The sequence below is a fragment of the Homo sapiens genome, chromosome 10 (genome assembly GCF_000001405.40).
Source record: "Homo sapiens chromosome 10, GRCh38.p14 Primary Assembly".
Lineage (NCBI taxonomy): Eukaryota > Metazoa > Chordata > Mammalia > Primates > Hominidae > Homo > Homo sapiens.
Window position 1 is genome coordinate 125873032 of NC_000010.11, and position 16404 is coordinate 125889435.

The window sequence follows — 16404 nt, forward strand, 5'->3', positions numbered from 1 at the left end:
GGTAGTGGGAGAGCTGGGGCCTGGGGTCTTTAGGGTGGGCTGCAGGGAGATCTCCTATAAGAATCTGCAACCAGATCCAGATCAGAATCAAGGGAGCAGCAGCGGCATCACGTATCCGTGTATGGTCTCATCACTGCCACTGTGGCAAGAGGACCTCCACATGAGCTACACTGGTGTAGAACTTTCTGTCCTTTCCATCTACTGCCAGTGATTGTTTCACCTCATCTAATGGATAATAAAGTTAGTTAACTATAATTTAATATAGTTAAATGAGAATAAATGAAGTGAGAAAAAAAGGACCTCCATGAGACACAATGCTATTACTGTTCTGTTAGACACATACTAGTCCCAAAGGCCTCTAATCCCTCACTTTTGATCATCAGGACGTCCATCAGGGCCTGAGTCCTCTTCTGCTTTCTTCTCTTAATGTCTCTAGGACCACCAATCCTGAAGCTACTGCCAAGGTCCCAATCACTCCCTTTAATTTCAGTACCAGAAAAACAGAATCTACAAGTTTAAAGGAATCTAAAGAACCACCAATTCACCCAAAGGTGAATTCAACACATTCAGTGTTGAATTCATCAGCACAAGCTCATGGTTTTTAAGTTTGCAAGTCTTAATGGTTTCAACAACATTCCTGTAAAATGCCTAGCCTGAGTATGCCCCTAAGGCAGCTATCCCACCCAAAGTGAGCCAATATATCAGAATCCATTACTGAGGAGTGAGGTCCCTTCTGAATCAAATATCACACATCCCTGGATAACAATTCACATACATCTTGGTTTTGAGTGAATACAGGTAGAACCTACCAGCAGAAAATGGTGAACAAGTTTACTCAGTCAATAGAAGTACAGATGTTCTAAGTCATACATCTTTTAGAATCTAAGTTAATTCTTTTTCATATCTTTTCATATCTTTTTCACCTCACTGACCCATCCATTCATGGGAAATTTCAGGACAAAAACTAGAGAAGGAGAAATAAGCAAAATATACACTTCTAGAGATGTTTTTCTCTCTCTTTTAGGATCGTTCATAACCTGTCTGCAAAAAATGTAATAAGAAAAGATTCTATAAACATATGGGAAATTGTCCTCTGTTTCTGCACCAAAGACAGGTGAAATCTTTAGGACCTTTGTAAAGCTTGGCTCTGAAGAAAGACTTTTTTCTTGAAAGGTTTAAAACTCTGAAGAACAAGAAAACAGTCTCGCAAACTCTTAAAACAACAACAACAAAAACCAAGTTGTTTCCAAAAGAAACCAACCAATGCTCCCACTATCTAAATTAGTTTAGGATAGATCCATTTTCTTATTTGAGTACCATTTTGATTTTTCTCACTTTGAAGATACATGTCGTCCCAATTAACAGAAAATAAGCCTAATTCATTGAAATAATTGAGAAATTAAAAATGACAAGAGAAACCATTGCTAGGTATTAATATAACATATAACATATAACAATTCTTGCTCTTGAAGATGATAAATTCTAAAACTCAAGAAGTAGATTAAAAAAATTTTTTAAACTGCAGTGTGGATTAGCAATTCTGAAACTACAATATGAATTGTTCTTTTGAGTATCTTTACTTGTTCAATCTGAGAACAGGTAAAGATAGTGTGAATAACACGAAGCCCTGTTTCTCATAGAGAAGTTATGGATATGAAAACTGGGAAGGCTAGAATAAACCCTGTAGTGCTAAACTGGAATCAGAGGCATCAGTACAAACTCATGGTTTTTAAGATATAGAAAGAGAGATAAAAAATATGAGAGGTAAGAAAATAGAAATACATAAAAATAGAGAAAGACAGAGAGAAACAGAGCCACAAATAGATGGATAGAATGAGACGTGTGTATATTGCACTCACATACATTTATTTCCTTGTTGTGTCCACTGAGATGGCCTAAAAGCAATGATAGGCCGGGTGAAGTGGGCCTATAATCCCAGCACTTTGGGAGGCCAAGGCAGGTAGGTTGCTTGAGCCCAGGAGTCCGAGACCAACCTGGGCAACATGACAAAACCCCGTCTCTATAAAAAATACAAAAATTAGTTGAGTGTAGTGGCACACACTTGTAGTCCCAGCTACTCTAAAGGCTGAGGTGGGAGGATCACTTGAGCCCAGGATGTTGAGGTTGCAGTGAGCCGTGATCATGCCACTGCACTCCAGCCTGGGTGACAGAATGAAACACTGTCTCAAAAAAAAAATTGCAATGATAAACCAATGGTAATAGGTACTTAGTGTCCAGATCTTGGTTTCAAAACACAGTTCACCACTAAACGGAACAAGGACTCCTGGAGAAAAAAAAAATGGTTTCTACACCGGCATGCGGAATGTACTAGATGAACCTGGAACATCTTACTGAGCCAGAAAGCAAAGAAGTGCTCAATAATGGGGAAATGTCAAAAGGACAGAGAAGCCACATTGGGGGCAATTTGAACAACAAAGTAAGTAGGCTTAGTAATACATTATAACCCATAGAATAAAATAAGAATTTATGAGTCCACATTGACATAAATAAATGATGAAGGAGAGAAAGCTCAGACTTACAGAAAGATTCTAAATAATGTGTAGAAGGCATGTCAGAATTAGAATAATCATCTTTGGTTACTACTAATGTAATAATTCAAAGGTAAGAATCACCAAAAATGCTAACACTAGTGGATGAATGTGAAACTGCCTTTGCAGAAATTGTAACAGTGAGAAAATTATGATGGTGAAGGAGATCTGACCTGACAACTCCATCTTGCCTTTCACCCCCAAACTCCCTTAGCCATTCCTGCAGTGGGCCAAGCTAACTTTTGTAGATAGTTTATAGTTTAAATGATGACAGCAAAATGAAACTGCCTTTGTAAAACTAATGAAAGGACACCAGGTTAGGAGGATGAGAGGGGCCTGAATTCTGCCAAGATGTAGGTGTAGTTAAATGATTACCAGTCATTATTCCAGAGGTCACAAGATTTGTAACCTCCCTGTAAATAACATCACTATTATAGAACCTAAGATTGGCCTTCTGAGATGTCTTTTCAGGTTTTTGTATTTCTGACAACTGGAGGCCCTATAACTGGATAGACCAGTAACTCCTCTGTTGTCCCTACCCAGAAGTGGACTCAGCACATGAGGACTGTTTTCCACACCTCTGTGATTGCATCCTCAGCCAATCAGCAGTACCCATTCCTTAGCCCCCTGCCCACCAAACTATCCTTGAAAAACTCTAGCCTCCAAATTGACAAAGAGGCTGATTGGAGTAATAGTACAACTCCTGTCTGCTGTTTAGCCAGCTTTATGTGTATTAAATTCATTCTCTATTTCAATTCCCTTGTCTTGATAAATTGGCTCTATCTTGACAACAAACAAGATGAACCCATTGGGTGGTTACAAATGTATAATGAGAAACATTTACATACTTTCAAAATATGTATCTATTAAATGATTGGAGGGAAATTGTTAACTTTTCAATAAAGAACCAGGCAGATACCACCTTACCAAGGGATCAGAATTAACATCACCAGCATGGGCAAAACTGACATCTTGTGCCTCCTGATATGAGGCACTGAGAAGGATACACAGCACTTGTGTGATCTTCTTGCCACAAATGCAGAGCCGGAACCTAACCCTAAGGAAACATCAGACATGTTCAAACTGAGGGAGGTTCTGCAGAATATATAACCTGTGCTCTTCAAAAATGTCAAAGTCATAAAGGACAGGGAGAGACTGGGGAGTTGTGTCAGATTAAAAAACGACAATAAAATACAATGCAATTTTAGATTGGATTTTGGACCAGAAAAACAATTTTTTTCAGTGATTATAAAGGCTATCAATGGGAAACTGATTAAATGTGAATGTCTAGAAATCAGATAATAATTAGATATCAACATTACATTCCAGATTTTGATAATTATGTTACGGCTACACACTGTTTTTCAGTAAATAAATACTCTGTTAAGTATTTGGAGGCAAAGGGCATCATGTCCTCAACCTACCCCTAAATGGTTCAGAATAAAAATGTGTATGAATGTATGGAGGGGGCAGGGAGGGAAAGATAAAGTTTATATGGTAAAATCTTACATTTGGGGAATCTGGGTGAACAACATATGGAAAATCTTTGTACTATTTTTGCAACTTTTTGTAAGTTTGAAATTATTGTAAAATAAAAACACATTTTTTCAATGTTATTTGTCCACAGAAACTAGGAAAATTATACTCAGTCAGTTCTCATCGTTAGCTTCTCGTAATGAACTGAAATCGTTTGTTATAACAATAACAGCGTAACAAAGAACAAATCATAATAAACCTTTGATACTGGCAGCTGTAAATCAGATAAAAAACATCTGTTGTCCAGCCCTCCTCTTTTCAAATTACCTTTAAAGTAAGTTAACTTTAGGGCAGGTACAGTGGCTCATGTTTGTAATCCCAGCACTTTGGGAGGTGAAGGTGGGAGGATCGCTTGAGCCCAGGAGTTCGAGACCAGCCTGGCCAAAATTGTGAAACCCTGACTCTACTAAAAATACAAAAATAAGCCAAGCATGATGGTGCATGCCTGTAATCCCAGCTACTCAAGAGGCTGAGGCACAAGAATTGCTTGAACCGGGAGACGGAGGTCATAGTAAGCCAAGACTGCCCCACTGCATTCCAGCCTGGGTGACAGAACGAGCCTCTCTGTCTCAAAAAATAATAGTGATAATAAAATAGGTAAACTCTAGAGATAATAAACAACTTGAAAGCAACAATTTATAGTAGAAAATATTCTTTTAACTCCAATTCAGAAAGCTACTGACATTAGATAGACAAATTATCAAATCCTTCTGGGCCACAGTTTATTCATCTGAAAAATGAAGGGGTTCCATCAGTTTCTAATTCTATTCTATTAGAGCATAGTCTATTCTACTAGATCTATTCGTAACTTCTCTATGAGAAATGGGACTTCTTATTATTCACACTATATGGTCTATTCTAATTCTTACATCGCGAGAATCTAGAAATGAATTTCATGATAAAAATACTGGTTGCTTGCTTTAAAACTTAAGAGTAAAATATGGATCTCACTTGAACAAAAACTTGAAGTCCAAATACAACAACAAACTGAATAATAAGTATTTATTAACTATCTAATGTTGGGGCTCAGGACATACCTCCCCAGAATATGACTGAAGGAGACCAGAATATGTGACCCCAAAATATGCCTCCTTTGCACATTTTGAGAAAGTGTAGACATAGGAGTAGCTCTGAAAAGTTACCTTTTTAAAGATAAATTTGTGCCTATACAAGAAATCTCTGCTTATAAGGGCATCTCCCTCTCTGCAACAGGAGGAGATGACTAAGTAAAGAAGACATCGACTTACATCTTCATAACAAACTTCACCTTCATTTAAGGTGCTTTTCCTGGCCATCTCATCTTAACAGGGTTGTTCCCCACAACCTTTTTTACTTTGTTTCAGAGAATGATGGTATTTAAGCCCAAAATTTAAATGCTTTCTTTGAGATCTACTCTAGAGACTTGCTCATTTCTCTGGGGTTTTCCCGTGTATACATGAGGCATACATATTAATACACTTCTGTTTTTCTTCTGTTAATTTGTCTTTTGTTACAGGGAGCCTCAGATAAGAGTTATGAAGGACAGAGAAAATTATTACTTTTTCCTTCTCTACACTACCTTGTTTTTCTTGGTGTTTTTTTTTGTTTTGTTTTGTTTTCTTTTTTTTTTTGAGATGGAGTCTTACTCTGTCACCCAGGCTGGAGTGCAGTGACACAATCTCAGCTCACTGCAACCTCCACCTCCTGGGTTCAAGTGATTCTCCTGCCTCAGCCTCCCAAGGAGCTGGGACTACAGGTGTGCATCACCATGCCCAGCTAATTTTTGTATTTTTTAGTAGAGTCAGGGTTTCACCATATTGGACAGGCTGGTCTCGAACTCCTGACTTCATGATCTGCCCGTCTCGGCCTCCCAAAGTGCTGAGATTACAGGCATGAGCCACAGCGCCCAGCCTTTTCTTGTTTTTTTTTTTTTTTTTTTTTTTTTTGAGACGGGGTCTTGCTCTGTTGCCCAGGCTGAAGTACAGTGGCATGAACATGGCTCACTGCAGCCTTGACCTCATGGGCTCAAGTGATCCTTCTGCCTCAGCCTCTTGGGTAGCTGGGACCACAGGCACGCACCACCATGCCCAGCTAATTTTTTAATTTTTTATAAAGTTGGGATCTTGCCATGTTGCCCAGCCTGGTCTCAAACTGCTGGACTCAAGCAATCCTCCTGCCTCAGCCTCCCAAAGTGATGGGATTATAGGTGTGAACCACTGCACCTGGCCCACTATCCCGTTAAACAAACAAACAAACTTTAATTGAGAGGCCATTAGGCTGAGGCAATGACAGAGCTCTAGAAGGTCCCACATAAGCAAACTAAAGTCCAATGTAAACAGTAAAACCATACTAGACTTTATCAATCAGAAACTGCCAACTATTCCCTAACTCGGAACTTTCCACTCTAACCAATTTAAATGTCTTTTGTCTTACTTTCATGTTCAGCCTATAAAAGCTCACTGCCCTTGCTGCTAGAATGGGGCTCACTAACCTCCAATGGTTCTGAGTGCTGCGTAATTCATGAGTCATTCTTTGCTCAAACAAACTCCTTGTTTTTTTTGTTTTTTTTCTGAGACAAGGTCTCTCACTCACATCGCCCAGGCTGGAATGCAGGGGCATCATCACAGCTCACTGCAGCCTCAACTTCCCAGGTTCAGGTGATTCTCTCACCTCAGCCTCCCAAGTAGCTGGGACGACAGGCATGCAGCACCATGCCCGGCTACTTCTTTGTAGAGACGGCATTTTGCCATGTTGCCCAGGCTGGTCTTGAACTCCTGGGCTCAAATGATCTGTCCACCTTGGTCTCCCAAAGTGCTGGGATTCCAGATGTGAGCCACTGTGCCTGCTCCAACTCTTTAATATTTTAATATCCCTAGGTTTATCTCTTAATGATCCTAATTCTTTCCCCCATCTTAGACCCCAAAGTGTGTGGCCCCAGGCCTGGATCATATTTAGTTGCTCAGTTATTTCTTATAGTCAGGAAAATCAGAATTTCCTTGTGCTTTTGATTTCAGTAGCTCAGCCAGCTTCACCAGCAAGCACATCCACATATCTGGATTCTCAGACCACTGGGCACTGAAACAGAGCAGTTAATCCCCATACCCATGCTGAGGAAATAACACGCATCACATCTTTTAAAATATCATATACACAATGGATCATTTGAGTAAATTTAATACTAGGATCATTTGAGTAATTTTAATACTGCTCTATAGACAATTCAGTGGTACCCTAAACACAATTAATTTCTACATAGATATTATTAACTTTTCAGCTAGTATTAGTAAAATTAATAAAATTAGGTACGTGATTTAATTATTTTATCTGAATAATGTTTTGTTTTTTGTTTTAGACACTATTATTAGAACACTAGGCTGTGACATGTCATTAAATAACAATTAAAAAATCAACACATACAGCAAATTATTTTTTGTAGTGGTTACTCACCTGAGCGCTCTTACCACATTTAGCATCTCCTGAAACAATCACGATTTGATTTTGAAGCAGGTTCTCCATAAAGGAGTATTTTTCTTTCCATATAGGAAGATCTTCTCTTTCTTTCAGAAGTTTATAATAACGTGATGAATATGGCAATCCATCAAAGGGGTTAAGTTCCAAATCCTCACAGGCCAAAACCTCTTCCTCATCCCCATCGCTGGAATCCAGGGATTCAGGAAAATAGCGTTTTTCAGAGGAAGAGTTTGGACACTCCAGCCCTTCTTCTTCCATCTTGTCTGACAGTGAGCTCACGCAGCTGACATTCCACAAGCAAGTTTCTCCTATCAGTAACCCATTGCAAACAGGGCTTAAAAGCCTATTTATACAAACCCGTATGTTCCAATCTCTAAGACTTCAGTTCAAGGTTTTAGCAAGTTAAATTCCTCAAACCTGCATCTGTTCTCCGTTGCTGTGTTACCCACTGTGCTGGCTCACTACAGCACTCTTCGGCATTGTAAATGATTGTCAATAAACCACACTAAGAAACAAACAAACAAAAAGAGTAAGGAAAATTAGGAACACATATAAGTTAAAAAGAAAATGCACAGGAGTTCAAATGAAAAGCATTATTTTTTTTTTTTCTGTTAACGGGTTTCTGTCATTTCTGCTGCCTGCTTAAAAGAACAGGAATAATTTAGGCTGGTGTTTAAAGTTTGGTGGGTTCCGGTATTTCCTGGCTGGTTCAGAAAATGATTCTGCACTGGGCCTCGTGCTCTCTGCCTGACCTCTATCTCAGGCTCTGCGTCTTGATCAACTGTGAATGGAAAGCAACAGGAGGGACAGGATTGTGATTGTGAGGCTAATCAATCACGTGGTCACCTAATCCCATGTCAAAAGAGGAGCTGGACCCTATAAAAGGAAAGAACTGTGATGACCTGGTGAGTGTTCCTCTAACACAGGCTACAGGAAAATCTATTATTAAGAAATCCTTTACTTTAATGAAAAACATTTTTAAAACTTTTCATTTTCCTTTTGCTTATGTCAGTTTAGAAAGCCAAGTGAGGGGAATGAATTTATTATTTCCTTCCATATGTAGTTATGGTTGGCTTTTATTTTATATATATATAAAAAAGACAGGGTCTCGCTCTGTCACCCAGGCTGGATGCAGTGGCGTGATCATGGCTCACTGCAGCCTCAACCTCCCAGGCTGTTTTCCCCCTGCCTCAGCCTCCTGAGTAGCTGGGACTACAGGTGTACACCACTATGTCCAGCTAATTTCTGTATTTTTTTGTAGAGACGGAGTTTTGCCTTGTTGCCCAGGCTAGTTTCGAACTCCTGGGCTCAAGTGGTCTGTCCTCCTTGGCCTCCCAAAGTGCTGGGATTTCAAATGTGAGCCACCATGCCCAGCTGGCTGGCTTTTATTAATAAGGTCTTTTGTTTAATTAAACCAGAAATCTCTAGCATATTTCTTGAGATTCCTGGGTCTTGAGCCCAACATGTCAGCTCCAAGAGGCCATTAAGGACAACTTTTAATTTAAATGAAGAAGAGAAATCACCCAAGAAAGAGCAAGATTTATACCAATAACTCAGTCCCCACATGTCAGGTGAAGGGTCTTTCCCCTTCCAATTACTAGTGATTAAAAAGAAAAATTCCATTAGTGTTGCTGGAAATAAGCTCCTTTTCACATTAACCAGATAAAAATGAAAAAGAAAACTCAAGTTAAAAAGAATAATAAAATACAGTTCATGATATTTTGTAAGTTACTGCACTTTTCGGATCACCTGGTTTACCTTAATTATTGCTTTAGATGGTTGGAGCCAGTGTGCTCAACAGCTAGTTCCTAATTAGTAAGTGATAAGAAAAGCTCTCTCTCTATTGGTCAAGACAGGCTCCAGGGCAACAGTCAATCACTCAAAAAACATTTGCTGAGTGTCTTCTAAGGGCTTATTAGATGAGTAAACTAGGCACTAGATACACACATAAAGGATATTTTGAAGATGGCAGCAAGAGCAGGATAGAAAGTTTTAAAATTCACAGATGAACAAGCTAGTTTAGAGGTAAGTAACCAGAGAGGCAGAAGAACTTCATAGCTCTTCCCAAGTAAAGTTCTTAAAAATTCATCTAAAAGCCAGTGTTTCAAAATTAAAATGGAATTACAAAGGCATAATAGAAATGTTGTAATATGGATTCACTTCAGAACTCTTCACTGCCTCTATAAGGTGAGAGTAGACCCACAGAATAGCTCCAGGAAGCATGGTAGCTTGAGATCATCGCACAAGCTAATTCTGGGAAGGTATCCAAGAATCAGAAAATTCCACTCTTCAGAGAAGTTAAAATTTAATTTTATATTCTATTTTTCTTTTGTTCTGATTAGAATCCCTTCCAAGGGTTCTCAGCCTACATGTAAATTAAATTGCTATTAAATATTATAACCAATGATTGCCTTAGGTAGTATTTCTTAACTGTTTTACCTTAAAAAAAGAACAGCTATTATTTTTACCAAAAAGAAATGTTTCTCTTATTTATAATACTCCCTAAGAGTGTAATAATCTTATAATTACAGTAAATTCTTACTTATAAAGCACTGACCACTTTGAACCCTGAGGAAATAATCAAGTTTTCTGAATAGTCTTCTTTCTAAAGACCTGAGACTTACCTGGCCCCTTCATCACACATTGTGCAATGTATCCACACACATTAGCCTTAACCACTTCTCTGTTATAGTGGAATTAAAGATGGCCACAGATTATTTGCCACTGTTCCAAATGGAGAGGTAGAGTCTATTTCCTCTCCCCTTGAATCTGAGCTGGCCCTGTGACCAGTGTCACTATGACTAAAATAATGCAGTTAAGTGATACTGAATCACTTCCAAGATATTCCCATGCTTGAAACACTCCTCTTTAGAACCAGCTGTCATTCTATGAGGTACCCACGCCCAAGCCACCGGGAAGAGACCAAAGCTGAACTTCCAGTCCACAGCAGCATAAACCTTCAACCATGTGAACAAGCTGCCTAAGATGCCCCAGCCCAGTCGAGCCTCCAGATGACTGCAACCCCAGCCAACTGAGCAGAAGCAGCATCCACAGGAGCCCATACAACCCAAAGTATCATGAGACAACAAATGGTCACTGTTTTTGTAAGCTACTAAGTTGCAGGGTGGTTTGACTTGCAGAAACAGATAACCAGACTTCTGCCTTCTTAAATAAACTATACTCACAATTTAACTTTTTCATTGTGACTCAAGGTCACCATTACATCAGTTGCCAAAACAGAATGATGTCCTCAGATGTCTCCGAAATCTACAGAAGCCAAAGACCAGACTGCTCTCCTGGAGCCCTGCTCTTCCCTGGGGACTCAGAACCCATGCCACTGTGTGGTGTGGCCTCTTACCTTGTGAGGCTCTTCTCTGCCTTTCTAACCTGCTCTCCTAACCGGTGCATTAGAAGCCAGACAAGCTTGTTTGACAGACACATTTGTAAAGCTTGAGTCCACAAAGGATGCTACCATTGAATCCAATGAGTCTGAGGCGCAAAACTATGACATTTATAGACTCTGGAACATCTATTTCGACTACTCAGAAGGACCTTTTGCTGCTATATGGTTTGGATTCCAAATTTGGAGGGTGGAGTGGCTGAGACCTAACTAGAGGAGTTGGGCCCATTGACTCCAATAACATTCATATACCTCTCCTTATTCATCTTGCAACTGGTGTAAGCCATGTAAATGTTTTTTCCTAGAGGTAATTAAATATGTACCAAAGATCTATGTCTTGGCCTTTGGCAAATTTAACAGTACCAGTCTAAAGAAAGAGAAACAAATAATATGGTAGGTTAGATGTCATTCAAAATAAAGTTTCATAACTGTTCTGTTGTAAGTATAAACTACATTCCACTATAAGAAATTTAAATCTGAAAGATTGACATTTGCTCTTTCAAAGCTATCATACATGTATATTGTAGATGGCACACTTTGTCAAGGACAGCTATTTGAAATCAATCTATTACAGCTCTTAAACATGCATCCATGAAAATAATACATATCTAATTAACAGACAACCTTAACAAGGTAGAATTAGAAGTCAATGTAAGATGAAGCTATGTCTTAGTCATTTATGTGTTTGGCTCTGGTCCAGTAATTCTAGAAATACAGTTCACAGAAATGGAAAGACAAAGTTTGTAAGGCATTAAGTGAAGCAAAAGCATTAATTTGTCCTGAGTAACTTATGTTTCACCATTCAGTGCTCCTCTTTTGTGTGTTTTTTTTTTCTGTATTCAAGCCAATATTACTGCTTACTTTTCATGTATCAAATACCCAAATACATAATTTTAGCACTTGGTAGATATCTGGAAGTTCCCAATGCTTAGTTCCTGGACCTCTCTTCCCCTTTCTCTCTTTAATAGGGCCTAAGTGGTCTCATCTCATCTCATGGCTTTAGTGCCATCCATACTTGGATGTATGGGTGTATCTGTCCTTAGGATCCATCGATCTAAACTTCAGTGTCATGTATTCAACTACCTATGCATCATCTCCCACTTGGATATTTAATAGGAAACTCAGACTTTACACGCCTGCAACTGAGCTCCCAACATGTACCCCAAAGCCACAAATCTGGTCCCCCCAATTTCAGTTAATTCCTTCCTTCCCATTGCTCAGATCAAAGTATTTGAAGTTACCCTTGATTTTTCTCTATCTTAAATCCCACATCTGGTCCTTCGACTGATGTGGTATGTAGAATGGCCTCCAAAGATGTGCATGTAGGAATCCCTGGAACCTATGAATATGTACTTTGCATGGCAAAAGGGACTCTACAGATGTGATTAAATTAATAACCTTGAGATTGGAAGATTATCCTGGACGATCCTGGTGAGCCCAATCTAATTACATGAGTCTTAACAATCAGAGGACCCTCCTAGCCACAGTCAGAGGAAAATATGACTATGGAAGAAGGTCGGAGAGATGCAATGTTGTGGGCTTTGAAGGTGGAGGAAGGGGCCACGGCCGAAGAATGATGTGAGTGACCTCTAGGAGCTAGAAGAGGCAAGGAAACAGATCATCTTCTAGAATTTCCAGAAACGAACACAGTCCTGCTGGCACCTTGATTGTAGTCCAGTGAGACCGACAACCGACTTCTGATCTACGAAGCTGTTAAGACAATAAATTACCACTCAATTTATGGTAATTTCTTATAGAAGCAATAGAAAACTAATATATTCAATCATGTCAGTTCTGTCTTCAAAAAATATCAAGTGCCCCATAACCTCTACTGTGAACACTTGGTCTGAGCCACTACCCCTCTCACCTGGATTACTGCAATAGCCTCCTAACCGGCCTTCCTCTACCCTTAGCCCCTTACAGTCAGGTCTCAAGCCTGCAGTCAGAGTCATCCTATTAAAGTCAGCTCATGTCTCCTCTGCTCAATAGTCTCCAATACTTCCCATCTCATCTCACTCTGAGGAAAAACCAAAATCCTTAAGAGGACCAACAATCACTGTATGATCTGGACCCATCGCCTCTCTGCCCTCATTTGCAACAGCTCCTACTTCAGTCTTCCCTAGCCAGACGGCTCCCCTGCTATTCCTCAAACACCATGGCAGATGCCTGCCTCTGGAACTTGGTGTTCACCCTTCTGTATGTCTGAAATGTTCCTCCCTCAGATATCCAAATGGCTAGCTTCCTTGCTGCATAAAGGTCGTTACCAAATGGCAGTTCAGTAAATGCTTCCCTGGCCACCCTATCTAAACTTTTACCGCTCTCCCACACTCCCAAAAACCACTTCCTAACCTCTTTAACTGCTTCATTTTTTCTCCTTAAGACCACCACCTAACATAATGTATACATTTTCCCTCTTTGTTTTCTGTTGGTGCCCTTCACTGGAATGTGAGCTCTATGAAGCAGGGCTTAGTGTCTCCACTGCAGTCTATCTTGCATAGTTACGTCCTTCATTATTTCACTCTTAGCTAAGTTCAAGGTAGTTTACTACTGCTGCATAGAGTTTAAACACTTCTATCAGGAATTCACTATGTTTCTGGATTTATGTGACTTTTTTGTTCCCTTCTGTTTATGATATATGATAGACTCTTGCTATTCTTAGAATTCTTTAAGACTCACAAACCCACAAACTGGAATATTTGTAGAGGCTCCTGGTCGTCCCTTGAATCATACATCCAAACCCCAAATTAACTCCTTTCAACATTTATTAAAGCTGCTTTCTTCTTGATCAATTCAGAAGAGTTATCATGTTGAAAAGTACAAAGCTGCACTGAGATTCAGACAATGGCATGTATCACGCTTGCTCTAGCAGATCACTGATCTTTGTGGGACCGCTTGTAAACTGCACATGCTGAGGAGGCAACATCAAGTATGAGGGGACTCTTGAACCGTTTGTACTAGTGATTATCTTTTCCCCATGTCTTTCTGTCTCTTTACTTACACTGTTATTGGAGCTACACCTTCTTCACTGGTAATTTCCACTCCTAAATCCAAATACAGTGGGTGACTAATTAATAATTACGGGCTGAGTAAATAGTGAATGAGTCATTTTCTATCCTTTAGGGATCATATGCTTCTAAGGGCAACATCTGATTGTATTTTACCATCGATATCATTCATAATCTAATAGGTCTTCTGTGTCTTCAAGTTTTCTCATCCTCAATGCCTCCATTTTTGGGTTTTCCATTTACCTGTTCAACCAATACTTGAGTGCCTAATATGTGTCTGCAATGTGAACATGGTAGGGACACAGTTTGAACAGGCAGGTCTGGTTAGGTGAGGCTGAGGGTGGGGTGTGGAAATAGAAATTCTTTGTCTATGATATGTAGACTCAACCTTACAGACAATTACTTAAAAGAAGGCAAGTGTGGCTGGTACCTAATTGCAGAGAAAGACTTTGGTACAAGATGAGTTCAAAGATGAGATAGGGGCCAGATCGCAAAATACCTGATCTGCTATGGTAAAAAAGTTGTGATTACAGTGCCATGGGTCTAACTTACCTAGTCATTTCTTGATCCAAATTTCATTTTTTACTCTTTTTTTCCTTAAAATTCTCCTCTTAAATTTCAGGTTACAGTCTTTTCTTTATTTTACATTGTATGTGTTTGTGTGTGTGTTTTTTTTTAAATTTTAGAAATAGGGACAGAGTCTATGTTGCCCAGGCTGTATTCAACTCCTGGGCTCAAGTGATCCTCCTGCCTTAGCTTTCCGAGTAGCTAGAAGTAGAGGTGCACACCACCATGCCTGCCTTATATTCTTTAATATTACCTATAATCTTTCTAACACCCACCTTCAATTTTCTTAAAGTCATTAGTGAGATTAGGTAACAGTTTATGGCAAAAGGCACAACAAACGTGATTATGAGCAGGTGCACCAAGCATGGCAATAAGAGAAACCAATATATCCACTTCCATGTAAAACATTCTAAGAAATATTAAAAATGAAATAACACTTCTTGACTTGAACATTTTGCATTATTTTCCTTTTTTCCCTAAGCCCACTCAACAGTAAATTAGTCTGCAAAAATAAATCTGTCTCATGATCTGACTCATAGTTTGTAAACCCTGTACTATATAATATACATATTTATATGTAAAATATACACGCCTTGCCTTTTAAAAATTATTATGTTTATATTACCCCAGAATTTGTTTCAACATTATCTGTTTGAGCAATGCATTTTTTTTTTTTTTTTTTAAAGACAGGGTCTTACTCCGTCGCCCAGGCTGGAGTGCAGTGGCATGATCATAGCTCACTGCAGCCTCCAACTTCTGGGCTCAATTGATCATCCTGCCTCAGTCTCTCGAGTAGTGGGACTATAGGAACACACCACCATGCCTGGCTAATTTTTATTTTTTTATTTTTGTAGAGACAGTGTCTCCCTATGTTGCCCAGGCTGGCAGTGAATTTTTTTGAGAAGAAATTGTGCTCATTTTAACCAAAACTTTATAAATATTTTAAGATTTATTTAATGTCTCTTCATATTCTATGGAACAATCAATCATTTATAATTCATATATTTGCATGAAGGGTGAAATAGTAAATTAGTAATTTAAAAAACACTTAAGGATAATCTTCTACAATACAAATCTTTAAAATTTATAATTTTGTTATTATATCTAAAACTCAGATTTCCCTAGTACTGCAGGTTTCTGAATCTCCTAGAATATTCAAACACTATCTTAATAAAGCAAACTCTGAACTTTATTGTGATAGCATAATGCTGAAAAAGTAAAAGGTATTAATTCTGTCCTGGCCAGGCGTGGTGATTCATGCCTGTAACCCCAGAACTTTGGGAGGCCAAGGCGGGTGGATCACTTGAGGTCAGGAGTTCAAGATCTGCCTGGCCAACATAGTGAAACCCCGTCTCTACTAAAAATACAAAAATTAGCTGGGCATGGTGGCGGATGCCTGTAATCTCAGCTACTCAGGAGGTTGAGGTGGGAGAATTGCTTGAATCTGGGAGGCGGAGGTTGCAGTGAGCTGAAGTGCGCCACTGCACTCCAACCTGGGCATCAGAGTAAGACTCCGTTTCCAAAAAAATAATTAATTCTGTCCCATTGTGGTAGCAGCTCAGCAAAAGGAAACATCCGTCTATATTGAAATCTTTGGAACCAACTTATAACACTATTGCAAACACTCACTGCATATATTCAACACATTTATTTAGATTTTCACTTATTTCCTTTTGCGGGTTTATGGTAGACTTCCTAAAGCCAAGATTAATTTCTGAGCCCGCTTTGCAACTCCTGCAAAATAAGATACAGGGCTGTGCACAAACTATGTGATCAATAAATATCTGCTGAACTCATAAACAATATACTTACACTCTATTTTTACTATGTTTAGAAAAAAAGAAAGTTAATGAGGTATTATGAGTGAATAATAACGTCTTCAGAATAAAGGACTATT

General features: G+C 39.1%; 1 protein-coding gene across 5 annotated transcripts in view, besides 2 other annotated features; it reads right to left on the reverse strand.

Moving 5' to 3' along the window:
* Positions 1 to 16404, reverse strand: part of DHX32 (DEAH-box helicase 32 (putative)) — a 60149-nt gene that overhangs the window by 36695 nt on the left and 7050 nt on the right. For 2 of the 5 annotated variants that reach the window (XM_047425469.1, XM_047425467.1), the window contains exons 2-3: positions 12334 to 12645; positions 7512 to 8040 (exon numbers count right to left, since the gene is read on the reverse strand). In XM_047425469.1, coding sequence (XP_047281425.1) covers positions 7512 to 7793 — 282 coding nt within the window. In that variant the 5' untranslated portion in view covers positions 7794 to 8040; positions 12334 to 12645. Of the gene's footprint in view, positions 1 to 7511; positions 8262 to 12333; positions 12646 to 16404 lie in introns of those variants that run through there. The other 3 variants (XM_047425470.1, XM_047425468.1, NM_018180.3) reach the window with 2 other exon arrangements.
* Positions 7851 to 8573: an enhancer, noted in NCBI's record as "OCT4-NANOG-H3K27ac hESC enhancer chr10:127569451-127570173 (GRCh37/hg19 assembly coordinates)". NCBI's record gives its function as "activates a minimal SCP1, AML or CMV promoter by ChIP-STARR-seq in primed H9 embryonic stem cells {active_cell/tissue: H9 hESC(primed)}" and the evidence as "EXISTENCE:reporter gene assay evidence [ECO:0000049][PMID:30033119]".
* Positions 12929 to 13223: a silencer, noted in NCBI's record as "tiled region #1957; HepG2 Repressive non-DNase unmatched - State 25:Art". NCBI's record gives its function as "represses a minimal TATA promoter and a strong SV40 promoter by Sharpr-MPRA in HepG2 cells {active_cell/tissue: HepG2}" and the evidence as "EXISTENCE:reporter gene assay evidence [ECO:0000049][PMID:27701403]".